Source organism: Homo sapiens, chromosome 6 (genome assembly GCF_000001405.40).
Source record: "Homo sapiens chromosome 6, GRCh38.p14 Primary Assembly".
Lineage (NCBI taxonomy): Eukaryota > Metazoa > Chordata > Mammalia > Primates > Hominidae > Homo > Homo sapiens.
The window spans coordinates 36,497,409-36,514,150 of record NC_000006.12 but is presented as its reverse complement, the minus strand read 5'-3'; the positions used below and the strand labels follow the sequence as shown (position 1 = coordinate 36,514,150).

At 42.4% G+C, this 16,742-nt stretch overlaps 1 protein-coding gene across 9 annotated transcripts in view; it reads left to right on the top strand.

Moving 5' to 3' along the window:
* STK38 (serine/threonine kinase 38) overlaps positions 1-16,742 on the top strand; it is a 53,588-nt gene that overhangs the window by 33,329 nt on the left and 3,517 nt on the right. For 8 of the 9 annotated variants that reach the window (XM_017010226.2, NM_001305102.2, XM_047418142.1 and 5 more), the window contains 5 exons: positions 6,549-6,651; positions 7,507-7,568; positions 14,161-14,278; positions 15,665-15,788; positions 16,276-16,371. In XM_017010226.2, the coding sequence (XP_016865715.1) occupies positions 6,549-6,651; positions 7,507-7,568; positions 14,161-14,278; positions 15,665-15,788; positions 16,276-16,371 (503 nt within the window). Of the gene's footprint in view, positions 1-6,548; positions 6,652-7,506; positions 7,569-14,160; positions 14,279-15,664; positions 15,789-16,275; positions 16,372-16,742 lie in introns of those variants that run through there. The other variant, XM_047418144.1, reaches the window with a different exon arrangement.

The following is a 16,742-nucleotide window of genomic DNA, read 5'->3' as shown; positions in this document are numbered from 1 at the left end:
CGGAGTCTCGCTCTGTCGCCCAGGCTGGAGTGCACTAGGGCAGTCTCGGCTCACTGCAAGCTCTGCCTCCCGGGTTCACACCATTCTCCTGCCTCAGCCTCTCGAGTAGCTGGGACTACAGGCGCCCGCCACCACACCCAGCTAATTTTTTGTATTTTTAGTAGAGACGGGGTTTCACGGTGTTAGCCATGATGGTCTCGATCTCCTGACCTTGTGATCTGCCCGCCTTGGCCTCCCAAAGTGCTGGGATTACAGGCGTGAGCCACCAAGCCTGGCCTTTTTTTTTTTTTTTTTTTTTTTTTAATTTTTAGTAGAGATGAGGTCTCGCTTTGCTGCCCAGGCTGGTCTCAAACTGCCTGGTTTAAGTGATCCTCCCACCTCAGCCTCTCAAAGTCCTGGGATTACAAGTGTGAGCCACCACCTGCTTTTTTCTTCATTATAATGTGCAGAAGTGGAGTAGAATAGTGGACATCAAAGGCTAGAGAGTGTAGCAGAGACGGGGATATGGGAAGAGCCTGGTTAAAAAAAAGGCCGGGGCCGGGCATGGTGGCTTACGCCTGTAATAATCCCAGCACTTTGGGAGGCCGAGGCAGGCGGATCACGAGGTCAGGAGATCGAGACCATCCTGGCCAACATGGTGAAACCCCATCTCTACTAAAAATACAAAAATCAGCTGGGCGTGGTGGAGTGTGCCTGTAGTCCCACCTACTTGAGAGGCTGAGGCAGGAGAATCACTTGAACCCGGGAGGTGGAGGTTGCAGTGAGCTGAGATCATGCCACTGTGCTCTAGCCTGGTGACAGAGCGAGACTCCTTCTCAAAAAAAAAAAAAAAAGGCCAGACGCAGTGGCTCACACCTGTAATCCCAGCACTTTGGGAGGCCAAGGTGGGTGGATCACGAGGTCAGGAGCTCAAGACCAGCCTGGCCAACATGATAAAACCTTGTCTCTACTAAAAATACAAAAATTAGCTGGGTGTAGTGATGGGCACCTGTAATCCCAGCTACCTGGGAGGTGGAGGCAGGAGAATCACTTGAACCCAGGAGGCGGAGGTTGCAGTGAGCTGAGATCGTACCACTGCACTTTAGCCTGGGGGACAGAGCAAGACTCCATCTAAAAAATAATAATAATAATGCATAAACATGGTAGAAAATTTGAACATTACAGACAGTATTAAAGAAGAAAAATTACGCTGGCCAGGCGCGGTGGCCCACGTCTGTAATCCCAGCTCTTTGGTAGGCCAAGGCAGGTGGATTACCTGAGGTCAAGAGTTGGAGACCAGCTTGGACAACATGGTGAAACCCCATTTCTACTAAAAATAAAAAATTAGCTGGGTGTGGTGGCACGTGCCTGTAATCCCAGCTACTCGGGAGGCTGAGGCAGGAGAATCAGCTTGAACCTGGGAGGCGGAGGTTGCAGTGAGCCAAGATCGTGCCACTGCACTCCAGCCTGGCCAACAGAGCGAGACTCCATCTCAAAAAAAAAAGAAGAAAGATTACCTATAATCTAATCACTGAAAGATAACCATTTTGTTGTAATCACTTTGATGCCTTTCTGTTTGTGTCAATCATTTATATAAAGTTGGCATCCTAAAAGTAAATAGCTTTGTATTCTGTGTAAACATTAAAATATTAATGCTAGATATTTTCCTGTGTCATTAATGTCAGATATATGTTTAATAAAGCACTGGCCCTACCTTGTGTGATTCAAAGTTCAGATGCCCTGGTTGGTGCCCCAGGTAGCTTAGTGCTGGCTTCTTTGTCCCCTGTAGTCTATGTTCAGATCCAGCAACCATATTAAAGAACTTGAGGATTCGGTCTAACTGAAGAGGAATGGGGGATCCTGTTAGGTGCAGGTTTGCCCTTTATATTATGCTAGCTCACACTTGTAGCAAAATGTTCTCATAAGCAGGTTGATTTGTGTTCAGCCACATAGATTATAGTCCTAAAAATGTAGGAGTTTTGAGTTCCTGTTGCATATTCAGAATAGCTATAGAATTCCCTGAAAGGCTAGGCTTGAATAGCATTTGCTCCAGGAACTGCTTTTAAAAAGTTTTACTTTCTTTCTTTCTTGCTTTTTTTGTTTGTTTGTTTTTGAGGTGGAGTCTCACTCTGTCACCCAGGCTGGAGTGCAGTGATGTGATCTTGGCTCACTGTGACTTCTGCCTCCCAGTTTCAAGCAATTCTCCTGCCTCAGCCTCCCAAGTAGGTGGGATTACAGGCGTGCACCACCATGTCCAGCTAATTTTTGTATTTTTAGTAGAGATGGGGTTTCACCCTGTTGGCCAGACTGGTCTTGAACTCCTGACCTCAGGTGATCCACCTGCCTCGGCCTCCCAAAGTGTTGGGATTACAGGCGTGAGCCACTGTGCCCAGCCAAAAACAGTTTTTCTTAGTCCTTTCTTAGAGTTGTCCAGGTAAGATATGTAATCATGAGAACTATAAACTTCCTTGGCTTGTAGAGTAAGTTACTTGCAAATCTGCAAAAAAAGATACTGAGGCCAGGCGTGGTGGCTCACGCCTGTAATCCCAGCTTTTTGGGAGGCCGAGGTGGGTGGATCATGAGGTCAGGAGTTCAAGACCAGCCTGGCCAAGGTGGTAAAACCCTGTCTCTACTAAAAACACAAAAAAATTAGCCAGATGTGGTGGCGGGCACCTGTAATCCCAGCTACTCAGGTGGCTGAGGCAGAGAATTTCTTGAACCCGGGAGGCAGAGGTTGCAGTGAGCCAAGATGGCGCCACTGCACTTCAGCCTGGGTAACAGAGCGAGACTCTGTCTCAGAAAGAAAAAGAAGAAAAAAAAAAAAGATACTGAGTTTAATAGGCTCAAAGCTGTCCCTGTTTGGCAGTTTACCTTGCTGTGTACATATGTACATACACACATCCAAACCTAATTGGATTTCTTTTAAAACAAAACATAATAAAATTTGACCCATCTGAGCAGGGCTCCTGTAGCCTTGTATTTTGGAAAATTTGTATGTTTAAGCCTGATGATGTCCTTGAGAAAGGTGGTATTCTGGAAAGACCACAGACATTGAAGTCATTTGGGCTCAAATTTTGGCCACACCACTTCTGATTGTGTAACCCTGAGCAAGGTAGATCTCTGAGCATCAGGATTCCCTCTTACATTTTTGATTTCAACTCTCCATCTTAAAATTTTGCCACCCTAAGACACCTACTTTTTCCTTAGGGCTAGTTATATGCCAGATACTGTGTTGGGAGTCTTACATGCATTAATGCCCATTCCTGCCAGAAAGATATCTGTACTCTCATTTTCCAGATGAGATAAGATGGCAGGGTAAAGTAATCCTGGTCTGGGAGGAAGAGCATGGGCTGATTTCTGCTTTTGGTTCCGCCATTTTAACGGCAAGCCATTTAACAGCTCTGAGTCTGTGATGTGTGGTTTAGGAGTTTTAAATGAGACAACACAAAGCATTGATCAAGGTGCCTGACTCATAGAAGGTGTGTGTTTTCCTTTATGAAAATTATAAAGTTAAGAGATTTATGATTGGAATACAGCATGGTCATAATGGCAGCGGTGGCCTGTCTGGAGCCTCTGCTGGGAAGATGCCAGCTGCAGTGGGGGAGGTGCGGTCAGGGCTGTGTGCTCCATGGAGCTGGCAGGAGCTGGGAACAAGCGGGAGCCCTGCCCTCCCAGGCACAGTTGCAGTTGCCCAACCACAGCTGCAGACCTGGGCATCCCAGAAGCCCATGAGCTTGGAAGTACCTGCTCCTGCTGCCTGACTTCTCTGTGCTCCTGGTGTCCACTCCAATTTCAGAGCAAAGTTGAGGCCGAGCCTGGGTTCTACTGAGACCTGGTCAGGTGTGCGCACACTTGGGGCGGTGCTGACACACTAGCCCCCTGCAGCCTCAGCTCCCTCTGGACTTTGGGTGCCAAGAAGCATGAGAGGGAGGCCAAGCAGGGGAGGAGAGCACCTGGGTGCAGGTCTGTAGATGCCCCTTTGCACCAACAGCCTGGGTGCTGTGGACAAAATGATTGATGGCTATAAGAGGCAGAGAGGCTCCTGGGTGGAAAGGGGTGGGTCCCTGGCGAAGCCCCACCTTCAAGCCAGGGATGGCCTGAAGCCTGAGGGCCAAGCTGTCAGTTCGGGCTGGAGTCTGTGGCCCAGAGTAAGAACTTGCGGTGGTTTTTCCGGGCCTGCCTGTGGCCACCTGTGGACCAATCAGCACGTACTTTCTCTCTTTTGAAACCCATACAAACCCTGGACTCACACTCTGGCAGATGGTCAGACGACCTGCTGCAGAAAGGAGCTATCTACTCCGGGTCTCCTAAGGGCTACAGACTTGATGGGTGCCAGGTCCAAACTGCAGACTGCGACCGAGCGATAGATGAAAAAAATGGACTCCGACACAGATATCCAGTGAAAGAGCGGGCTAGGGGAGTGGACTGCCTACAGAAAGAGTTGTAGCAGCCTCGGCCCTGACAAGCTGGTGCTGCGGGCAACTATTTAGTACAGATTTAATGACAAAGGCCTTGAGTCATTGTGGGTAATTAACATGGTCATCACCCCCCCACCCCCACCTCATCTCCGGAGAGAGCAGTCCTGCGCCTCGATTTATTAAAGTCCAGGTTCCGAGGCCTAAGTAAACTAACTTATCTACATCAGTTTCTTTACATCCCCTTGTTATCTAACCTAAGCTTTCAGGCACCGGATAAGAGAATCTGGCTGCTTTCGGCCAAATCCTTTTCTGAAGCTTTTGTAAAACTTCCCAGCCTTCTAAGAAGGTTTGCTTCTTTCTACAATTTTTCTCACCACCCTTACCGAACCCCGGCAGATGGGATGACCTGCCTGCGTCTGGGAGGTACCCACTCTGGGTCTTTTCTGCACTGAGGGCTGCACAGATGTCAGGATGACCTGCTTGCGGAAAGGAGCAACCCACTTTGGGTCTCCTGAGAGCTGTACTGTCGCTCAGTAAAGCTCCTCTTCACCTTGTTCATGCTCCAGTTGTCCGTATACCTCATTGTTCCTGAATGCAGGACAAGAACCTGGGACCTGTCAAATGGTGGGGCTGAAAGAGCGGTAACACAAACAGGGCTGAAATATGTCTCCCTTGCTCGCCGTGTTGCAGGCAACAAGAAGGAGAGAAGAGCGGCGGCCCTTCCAGGAGCCCAGACTTAGGGGCTTCCTGAGCCAGTGCTGTGACACCCCCTTTAGGGCTCTGCGGTTTCTGGCATCTCCAAGCTTCCAGGTGCCACTGCATTCCCCTCGTCCAGATGCAGGTGCCCACAGCAGAAGCCGCTTGCAGTGCATCTCATCCAGCTGCAGGCTTGCATGGAGCCAGCAACTATGCTGGCACCTGGAGCTACCTGCTCTGCCTGGCTGTGTGCAGTGGCCACCGGTGTGCCTGGCTGTGTGCAGTGGCTGGACCCCGCACTCACTCACACACGCCTTGCCACTCTGTGCTTTTCTTGCCCTTGGCAGGCTTGGGATCCGCGCTGGTAGCACAAGCCTGCCAGGCTGAGTGGGCGGAATGAGCCCAGCGGACCTGAGCAAAACTCGGGTAAAGGCATCAATGACCACAGAGGCTTCTGGCTAGAAGCCCAAGGATCTCATGGCAATAGCATTTATCAAGGACTATCCAATAATATTTATTCCCTTTGTCTTTGAAACAGTTTACTCCTGGAATTTATTCCAATGTTATAAGAGGAGGAAAAGCTATATGAACAATTTTGAAAAGATTTACTCTTCATTTAACAACCATTTATTAAGGTCATCCTGAATCATGCCCGGTTAGGTCTGGGAATACAGACTCTGTCAGAGGGGACCTGATAATCCATGTTATATGAGAGCTAAGAATTGAAAATGGAATGCACATCCAGTATTAGGGGGATGGTAAGGTAAACAATGAAGTCCCAAGTAAACTGAATATTATGTAGACTTTTAAAGTGGTAATTTTGGCCAGGTGTGGTGGCGCATGCCTATAATCTCAGAACTTTGGGAGGCTGGGATGGGAGGATCACTTGACCTCAGGAGTTTGAGACCAGCCTGGGAAACACAGGGAAACCTTGTATCTCCAAAAAATAAAAAAAAATTAGTCGGACGTGGTGGCACACAACTGAGGTCCCAGCTACTCAGGAAGCTGAGTTGGGAGGATTGCTTGAACCTGGGAGGTCGAGGCTGCAGTGAGCCATGATCACGCCATTGTACTCCAGTTTGGGTGACACAGCAAGACCATGTCTCAAAAAAAAAAAAAAAAAAAAATTCTGAATACCATATAGAAACAGAGGAATATTTGAGTACAAGAAGTAGTAAAATTGTCTCTAGATGCTATGGAGGGGTCAGCTATGTTTAAAAATCAGTATTTGGATAAAACCAAAGATGATATGCAGAAATGAAAATAGTTTTATTAGTATAATAGGATTTGGGATTAAAAAATTTATCTGCAATTACATGATTTTTCCTATCATAAAAGAAGGAGCAGTGTACTTTGGCTGTAGAGCTATAATGGATGCTGGAAGGAGCAGAACGTAATGTTCTGTTCTACCTCCAAGAATACTCATCCATCTATCACCTTGTTTCTTCCCCATAGGGCCATGTGAAACTTTCTGACTTTGGTCTTTGCACAGGACTGAAAAAAGCACATAGGACAGAATTTTATAGGAATCTGAACCACAGCCTCCCCAGTGATTTCAGTAAGTGGTAACAATTACGTTAGCCTTTTCGTTCTAACTGGGCCTAGAAGAGCTGTTTCCCTTGTAACCAAATTAGAACAGATAGGAGATTCTCACACTTTGAGTATGTAGAGAATAAAAATACCTTCCCAGGTTTGCCTGTGATTTGTGTTGTCTGGTGAGGCAAGATGAATGAGTGGGTACCAAGTGTGTGAAGGCAGAGGTTGAAAGGGGTCTTTAGAGGTCTACTGGGAAGGTCACTGGGGATGAGTATGGGACAAGCAAGCAGAAGTAGTAGAGGAAAAACTCCTGGGAACAGTTCTGGGCTAGATTTGTCCTGGGCTAGATTTGTCCTTCATGACAGAAAGAAGTTTATCTTTATGACAGTCACTTCCATTTGAGCACTATGAAATCGTTGACAACTATGTAGTAAAATTTCAGTTCATCCTAGAAAAGCATATGTCAAATCATGTATCATAAATTCAGATGTCCCTGATCATATAAGTTACTACTACTTGGAAAATTGATGGTAATTTTGAGAAATTGTGACTGTTTTAGGTCCACGTTAGGACCTCAATTCTAGTTGAGACTGAATTCCCTGTAATTCTGATTAAGTCCTGTACTGTATCCTCTGCCACTTGATCCACATGGGAGTGCCTTTTACAACTCTGTGTGAGTCTTTTAAGTTAATGCTTTACAGCCTCTGATTTGGGTTTACTGTAAACGTACTAGGATATGTATCATCTGGAGCTTTTGATGTATGAGTAGAAGAAAAGCAAGACTTTAGGGTCTCATGTGACTTGAAAGAGCCTACTAAAAAAAGTAGTAAACATTTTGGTCTGAACTTTGACTGCAGCTTGTATTCTTTACTTTCAGCTTTCCAGAACATGAATTCCAAAAGGAAAGCAGAAACCTGGAAAAGAAATAGACGTCAGCTAGTAAGTAATATCTGTGGCTTCTGAAATGCTACAAACCAAGTATGAATAAGTTCAAAAGATTTTCACATAAATTTGCATTTGACAAATATTTGCAACATATCCCTTGCTTTTAAGATTACCTAAAGAGAGTGCTGTTGTTAGGTTGGTAGGACCGAAAGGAATCTTTTGAAGGAGGACAGGTAATATTAGGTTGTTTTGATTGTGACATTTTCCGTGGGCGACCTCATTCTGACCTTTTAGCTTGGTAACAATACCTTTCCTTCCTGCCCCACCTTTTCTCCATTTTCATAGTGGTAAAGGGGTTATATTTAAGCTGGAGATCTGTCAGAACTAAGTACAAATACCTACTTAGAGTTTTCAGGCATCAATTCTCAAACTTTTTAAAAATTTTGATCCACTCGGGCAAGGGCAAGTCAAGACTCCTCAATTCATTTGCCTCACACTTTCTGACTTTGTGATGTAAAAAAGAACTTACTTATAAAGATTGGAGAGAAATATAAAGGGAATGCTTATTACTTTATATGCATTTGACTTTGTGCCTATATAAAATTATGTCCTACAGGCTGAAAAATAAGAAACATCGTGTTTACCTTGATAGTATGTTGGAAGTACAAATTTACCAGTGAAATATTGCTGTCTAAGCAGAATTTATTTTTTGCCAATAGCTGATAAATTGGTTCATGTTTGAAGTTCAGTGTACATGTTCCAGTGTCCAGTTACTGGAAAGTTATTGGCCAGATAATAGAAATGCGTATCACTACATTCTTAAGCTTTGCAAGAAACCCATAGCAAATGAAATTGATGATGGTAAAGCCAAACTAACATTTGGTCATTAGAAAGCAGAGTAGCAGCAATGGGAAACTGACTAACTTGGAATGATGGTCATGCAAATGTATTGTCTGGAAATGGTAGCACTTCCGTTTGCCCACATATATGGTAGTAACTTGGCAAGTTTACCAAATACTGTGTTTCAGTCAGAATTCCTAGTAAAATACTGATTTACAGTTCTCTAGAGTACCTTTAATAACACTCTTAGTAGGTCACTAATAGGTGGATGTCAGTTACATGTGAAAATGGAAGCCTATGGGATGGTTTAAGGAAGAGTCAAAGGAAAGCCTTGCATTCGTTTTGATTTATTTGAAGCCCACCTATCAGTGGGGCCTCAGACAATATTTACTTGGGAAATCTTCAGTTTAGTACAGTTAGTTACAAAATAGTCTCCCTTCCTTGGGAACTCTGCGACTCTTTAAACTTCTGAATTCTGTATGTGGTTGAAAAATGGTTTATCTTGTTGAGGATTAGGGAGTGTCAGGAACAAATTTGGTCAGATGCTTCTATTATGTCTCTCCACAGAGGAGTAGTTTTTAACCTTGGTTGCACAACAAAATCACTTGGGGAACTTCAGAACATGTTGATGTCCAGGTTCCACCCACAGAAATTATGATTCAGTTGGTCTGGGATATAGTCTGGGTATCTGGTTTTTAAAAGACTGAGTGATTCTACTGTGCAGTGAATGTGGAGAACCTCCACTGAAGAGGTTATGTCTTAAATAATAGCTCCTGCGTTGTTGGGAAACTAATATTTATCTATTTTTTGGAAACAGAAGGTAAGGAATCTGTGATTTCTTTTCTTTCTTTCTTTCCTTTCTTTTCTTTCTTTCTTTTTTTTTTTTTTTTTTTTTTTTGGAGGCCAGGATTTAACCTTTGGCTACTGTGCTGACAAGTATTTTGGGGATAAAGCTTAAGTGTTTTGAATTGTTCCTTATATTCCAAGACAAGCTTTGTGCTCTTTGATGTGTACCCAAGGGTCATGTCATGATTAGAGGAACCATTTCTATAGTTCTATAAGGAAAGCAATTTCACAATTTTCGTATTTGCAGTTAAATGTCATTTAATAGTTAAAAACATTTTTGAAAATCTGAATAAACTTAAGGCCCTGATGCTATGGTTAAGGTTCTTGCCTTTTTATACTATATACAGTAGAAATGGGAAAGTGTAAATTAAGGTCATCTTCATATTATCTCTTTTCATAACTTGAAGAAAATGAAGCCACCTCTCAGTCTTCCAAATGTTAATTAACTGTGTTACTTTGACCTTTTGTTAGTGATCCCATTCAGCTAGTACCAAGCTGAAGATTGATATTCGTTAATGGTTAATATAAATTTACTGCTCTAGGTTAAGCCTAACATATGTAATTGCTACTCAGCCTATTACTTTTTAGTCCATTGGGAATCACTAAAAAAAGTAGAGGCTTTAGCTTCATTCCTCGGCTGCTTAAATCATATTGTAATGTTTTAAATTGTTATGTCGTCCTGTATAACCTTAGGCCCCAGTAACTGATTAATATGAGTCAGCTTTAAGTTAATTACAGATATAAAAGGTAATAGACACATAGGCATCCAATCTTGGTCAGTTTAATTTTTTAGGGTTGAATTTACAGAAGTGAGTAGGAAATTAAATTGCTTTATTTCTTCTAAAACCCTGACACAAAATCATAAGGTTAGAACACATTCAGTTGAAATGACTGTTAACAACCAACAGAGCTATTCCAGATAGCAATTTTCATTGACACTTGAAATACCCAGACAGAAAAAAGGAGAAACTGGAGTACAGATTTACGAGGTTGGAGTTGGAGGACACCCTGGTGTGGAAAACAACAAAGGTTTGGGAAGGGGGCAGTCCTTAGATTGGAAAGGGCACACCTGGTACAGATGGTGTGGTAAAAAGTGTGGTAAAATGCGAGCGAGCTCCAGTGGCAGACTCTAGTTTCTGGAATAAGAGCAATACTTTTACCTTCACAGGTTTGAGCCTGTTGTTTGCTATATTTTATAACTCGTTAAGAGTTTTTTTTAATGCACTGGTATCTTGAAGGAGTTCTTTTCCTCTGGCAGTAGACCTCTGGTTTTATAATGGAAATCTTTGAACAAGTAAGATCTGCTTAGATTTACATTCATCTTTGGTAGAGTAAACCTCATCTCTAAATTAAAGAGTTTGTAATTTCTTACCTTTATGATTAGAATGAAAATTCTTGGAGAGGGCCTAATCCACATGTCAGTTTTTAAAGCTTAAAGACAAAAGACAACACTGGCATTTGTGTTAATATCTGCATTTAAATATATATCATACACACACAAACACACACACACACACACACTTAGCTATATGGAAAAAATGGATCCCTACCTTACAGTATATGCAAAAGTCAATTCTAGATGGGAAATTAAACTTTAAAAATTTTTAAAGAAAATACAGGGCAATATCTTTATGACCTCAGAGTAAAGAGGGATTTCTTAAACAAGAACTACAGCTCATAAAGGAAAAAGTTGGTTTATTTTATTACTTTAAGGAAAAAAAACCTTCTATATATCAAAAGACGTAAAGAAATGAAAAGACAAGCCACACAGTACAGCTACTTTGGAATTATCTTTCAGAATTCATGTGTACACCCTACAGCGCTGCAATTCTACCCCTAGTCATAGGCCCTGGAGAAACTGCACATGTGAACCAGGAGACATTCAGAAGAATGTTTATTGCATTTTCATAATAGCAAAAGACTGGGAATAATCCAGTGTCCATCCACAGGAAAACAGTTACATTCTGGAATAGAATATTTTGCAGCAGTAAAAATAATTGAACGAACAGCTACTTGTGACAGTGTGAATCAATTTTAGAAACAAAGTTGAGAGGAAGAATCTAATAGCAGAAGACTGTATATAGAATGGTACCATTTTAATAAAGCTCAAAAATAAAACTAAGATCTCATTTAGAGAGATAGATGGCAAAATTCTTTTTAAAAGCAGAGGAGTGACAAAACACGAAATTCAGCATAGTGGTTAAGAGAAGCAGGAGAGACGAGGAGGAGTACATGTTTAGCTTTAATAATATTGGTATTCCTTGGTTCTTCAGTTGAACTCGTGGCTATTCATTTTCATGATTATGCATTATAATTTGATAATGTATGTAATTAACAGATGTATGTATGTGACATATTTACTTTTGGTAACAAATACTACTTCATTAAAAAAATCACAATAAAAATAACAAGCGTCAATCTGGGAGAAGATACTTGCAGTATACAAATATCTTAAACAGATTAATGTCCTGAATTCATAAAGAATTCCTATGAATCAATAAGAAAAAGGACAACACAACTTAAAAAATACTAATGGACAAAGGATCTGAATAGGAATTCATAATAAAAACCTGGATGGCTAATTAAAATATGAATATGTGCTCAACCCTACTTGAAATAAAGTAAATGCAAATTAAAACAAGATCCCAGCCATGCTGGCACATCCCTACAGTCCCAGCTACTCAGGAGGCTGAGGCAGGAGAATCCCTTGAGGCCAGGATTTCAAGGCTGCAGTGAGCTATGATCATACCACTGCACTCCAGCCCGGGTGACAGAGCAAGACCCCATCTCTTAAAAAGAAAAAAAAAGAGATCCCATTTCATATTCATCAGATTGGTAAAAATAAAAAAAAATCTGACAAAGCCAAGTCTTGATGAGATATGGAGTACCAGAAGCTAATCCCCACCGGGGTTGGTTTAAATAGGGACTAACTACTTTGGAGGACATGGAAGATACCTCAAGTTTAAATGCTTATAACCCAAGGCTCAGCAATATTCTAGTTAATACTCTAGAGGAATGCTTGCACAGTGCCCAAGAAGGTATTAAAAGAATGTTTATTCAGGTGTTATTTGTCATAGTGAAATACTGGAAGCACTGTAACTGTCCATTACAGAAGAACGGATAAAAACTATTGTGACTAATTTATATAACAGTATAGCATACGGCAGAGAAATGAGTGAACTAGAGCTACATGAATAAATCTCAAAACGAATGTTAAGACAAACAAGGCCGGTTGCGGTGGCTCACTCCTGTAATCCCAGTACTTTGGGAGGCTGAGGTGGGTGGATCACTTGAGGTCAGGAGTTTGTGACCAGCCTGGCCAATGTGGTGAAACCCTGTCTCTACTAAAAATACAAAAAATTAGCCAGGTGTGGTTCATCTCAAAAAAAAAAAAAAAGACAAATGATCTGAGACAAATATGGCAAATTATTAATCTTTTTAATGTGGGTAATGGGTCTGTATTGTATTGTCTGTTCCTTTTTTCTGTATGTTTGTAATATTTCATAATACATGTTTTAAAAACAATACAACTGTAATTTAAAAAATTATATAATATTTAAAGCACCTAGATCAGAGCCTTACACATGGAAGCCCTCAAATGTTAAGTACATTAGGAGGCTTTGATTGTACTTTCTCCTCTTATTTTGCAGTCCTGGTATGTTAGAGTAGAATACTGGAATGCAGAAAATGTTTCTCTTGGTCAGGTGCGGTGGCTCACACCTGTAATCCCAGCACTTTGGGAGGCTGAGGTGGGAGGATCACTTGAGCCAGGAGTTAAAGACCAGTCTGGGCAAGATGGCAAAACCCCATCTCTACAAAAAAATTAAAAAATTAGCCAGGTGTGGTGGCATGCACCTGTGGTCCTAGCTACTATGGTGGCTGAGGTGGGAGGATCTCTTGAGCCTAGGAGTTTGAGGTGAGCCATCATCGTGCCACTGCACTCCAGCCTGGGCCCACAAAGGGAGACCCCCATTTCTTAGAAAAAGAAAACATTCCTCCAAGAACTATATACAAAAACAATTAAGTTTGGTAAATAGGTATTTATAAATGTTTAAGTTATAGGATATAACTTTAGCTTTTGATCATATAGCTTCCCTTTATGATTGTGTCAAATCAAAGAATGTGTATCATAGAAAGAGGGATGGTTTGGAGTAAGATACTATAATTCCTATTTTTTTTTTTTTTTTTTTTTGAGACAGAGTCTCACTCTGTCGCCAGGCTGGAGTGCAGTGGCACGATCTCGGCTCACTGCAACCTCCGCCTCCCGGGTTCAAGCGATTCTCCTGCCTCAGCCTCCCGAGAAGCTAGGACTACAGGTGCACACCACCACGCCCAGCTAATTTTTGTATTTTTAGTAGAGACGGGTTTTCACCATGTTGGCCAGGATGGTCTCCATCTCTTGACCTCGTGATCCGCCCACCTCAGCCTCTCAAAGTGCTGGGATTACAGGCGTGAACCACCACTCCCGGCCAGATATTTAATTTTTAAACTGGGCTCTACCACCTAACTAGTTCTGCGGTCTCAGGCAAAGCCATTTTGAGCATCAAATTGTATCTGCAAAGTTAAGCTAATAAGGTCCTCCTTGGAAAAGTTTTGTCAGGATTAAATGGACTCATGTATATGAAGTTATATATATATATAAAACTCATGTAATATATATATTAAGTACAGAGCCTAGTACTTAATGGGTGCTCAGTAAATTGTAATACCAGTTATTATGACACAGATGCCTTCGCCCTAGTGACTCATAGTTAAGGGTCTCCTGCCTCATGAACAAAGCTTTATTGTTCATTTTGGAAAGTGCTTTGGGAAATCGAGCTTGCCATTAAGCTACTGGGCAGTCCTGCTTATTTAGCTTGGGGGTAGCTTCTGATGTTACTCATAGCCTTTGGTTTCTAGAACAGAACTCTGGGCACCTCCTGCCTGGCTGGGCCTCGCTGATGTGTGGTCCATGTTTCAGGCCTTCTCCACAGTAGGCACTCCTGACTACATTGCTCCTGAGGTGTTCATGCAGACCGGGTACAACAAGCTCTGTGATTGGTGGTCGCTTGGGGTGATCATGTATGAGATGCTCATCGGTAAGTTGCATGGTTTCAGAGGACTTTTTCTGTGCATCCATGACAGACTTTTACATTGATACCAGCCTCTGTTTCAATTGGCAGTGATCTAAGTGATTTCCCTACTTGTCTTTCAAAGTGAATTGTTTTAGACAGATGACACCTCTTTCAGTAAGATGTATCCCACTCCATTCTTGGGCTTACTGGCATCCTGCAATTGCTTTGCTGATCATTTTTTATGTTTTTCTTTCTCTTATACCTTCATCTTCTCCATCTAGAAGCTCTTTTAGTCACTAGCATTTATTAAATATCCGTTGTATGCAGAGCACTTCAACTGGGCATTGCCTCACTTTCCTAATTTGCCGCCCCCTTCCTCTGTCAAAGCCTTCAAATCATGGGACCCTCTGGCCTCTCTCCCTCTTATTGTATTGGTGTGTCTCTGTATTTATGGGACGCATCTGTGGGGGTGGTCATATGCCAGTGAGCACTAGATTAAGTATATCCTTGGTGGTTCCGGGTGAGTCTATCTGGCTGCTTTGGCTTCAGGAACATGGGAACGATGCCTGTGGAGGTGGGCGTACACCGTCTGGAGGGAAGATGGGGTGATAGGGTGTGTGCGTGTTTGTCTTCTTGCCTGTAGTTCTCAAAAAGAGGCATGGTGGTCATTTTTAAAATCTATGCTTTTTTCTTATTCAAGTTATTTGGTACTTTACCCATATAAGGGTATTTCTGGAATGATATTGTTTCATCCTTTCATTTCTTCTTTGGGCATGGTGATTCCCACACCTGCAACTCTATTTATGTCCTCCTTTCTTTTCCCAGCTCTACCTATTAGCTGACTTCCTAGTGGTACCAGAGGCATGATTTCACTTTGGGTCTGGGAGTTTGGGGGAAAATGAAAAATAGGTTTAGGTATTTTCTGGGATAAGTGGAAATCCTGTCTGTGTCATGGAGGGATGGCCATACAGAGTAATCCAGTAGTCATTAAAGACATACAGAATCAGGCCGGGCACAGTGGCTTATGCCTGTAATCCCAGCACTTTGGGAGGTCGAGGTGGTAGTATCTCTTAAACCCAGGAGTTCAAAATAAGCCTGATCAACATAGCAAGACTCTGTCTTTACAAAAGAAAAATAAAAAATCAGCTGGGTGTGGTGGTGCTCTTCTGTAGTCCCACCTACTGGGAAGGCTGAGGCAGGAAGATCACTTGAGCCCAGGAATTCAAGGCTGCAGTGAACCATGATTGTGCCACTGCACCCCAGCCTAGGTAACAGAGTGAGACCCTGTCTCAAAAAAAAAAAAAAAAGAAAAAAGAAAAAAAAAGACATAGAATTTTATTAAGGAGAGTAATCTCGGTCAGATTCAAAGTTCTGGAGTGTAAAAGCTCCGAAGTTCCTTTTTTATTACAGGCTACCCACCTTTCTGTTCTGAGACCCCTCAAGAGACATATAAGAAGGTGATGAACTGGAAAGAAACTTTGACTTTTCCTCCAGAAGTTCCCATCTCTGAGAAAGCCAAGGATCTAATTTTGAGGTATTAGAGAACATCCCTCCACCTTCTTTCTCAGCTTTTTAATATGAATGATTCCATTTTTTTAAAAACTTTTGTTATCTCCTGAATCTGCTTTCTGTTTCCTCCTATTCCTCTCTTTAAACAAATAAAAAGGCTGTGCATGGTGGCTTACGCCTATAATTCCAGCACTTTGGGAGGCTGAGGCAGGGGGATCACTTGAGCCCAGGAGTTTGAGACCAGCCTGGACAACACAGCAAAACCCCACCTCTAAAAAGAAAAAATTGGCTGGGTGTGGTGGAACCTGTGGTCCCAGCCACTTGGGAGGCTGAGATGGGAGGATCCCTTGAGCCCAGGAAGTTGAGGCTGCAGTGAGCCATGATTGTGCTACTGCACTCCAGCCTGGGTGACAGAGTGAGATGCTGTCTCAAAAAAAAAAAAAAAAAAAGAAAGTTTTTCTTTTTCTGAGGAGACTGCTTGAGATGTGCTGAAAGGCCTCTGTCTTTTCCAGGTTCTGCTGTGAATGGGAACATAGAATTGGAGCTCCTGGAGTTGAGGAAATAAAAAGTAACTCTTTTTTTGAAGGCGTTGACTGGGAACATATCAGGTATATCCATATAAACACTTTCAGAATTATTTCAGAAAGTCTCTAGTTTACTTAATAATAATTTGGAAGGACCATCATTGGCAAGCCAAGTAAGGGAAGAGAGCTTCTTAGAGATTTAGGGTCTTTTCCTGATTTTCATTCATGGTGAAGATTGGGCATTAGATTTTTTGTCAGCCGTGTGTCATGGAATATATTGAATCTAGCAGTTATTTACAAAGTGAAGTGAACTTTGTTTTTTGAGGTGGAGGGAGCATCTAGGAAGCGTATTACCCTTTACCTAGAACTCAGCAACCTCTTAGGTCCCGCCAGCGGGACTGTTCCTGCCCACAGGGTGGAAGGTATCACTGGAACATAGAGAAGGGAGAAAGGAG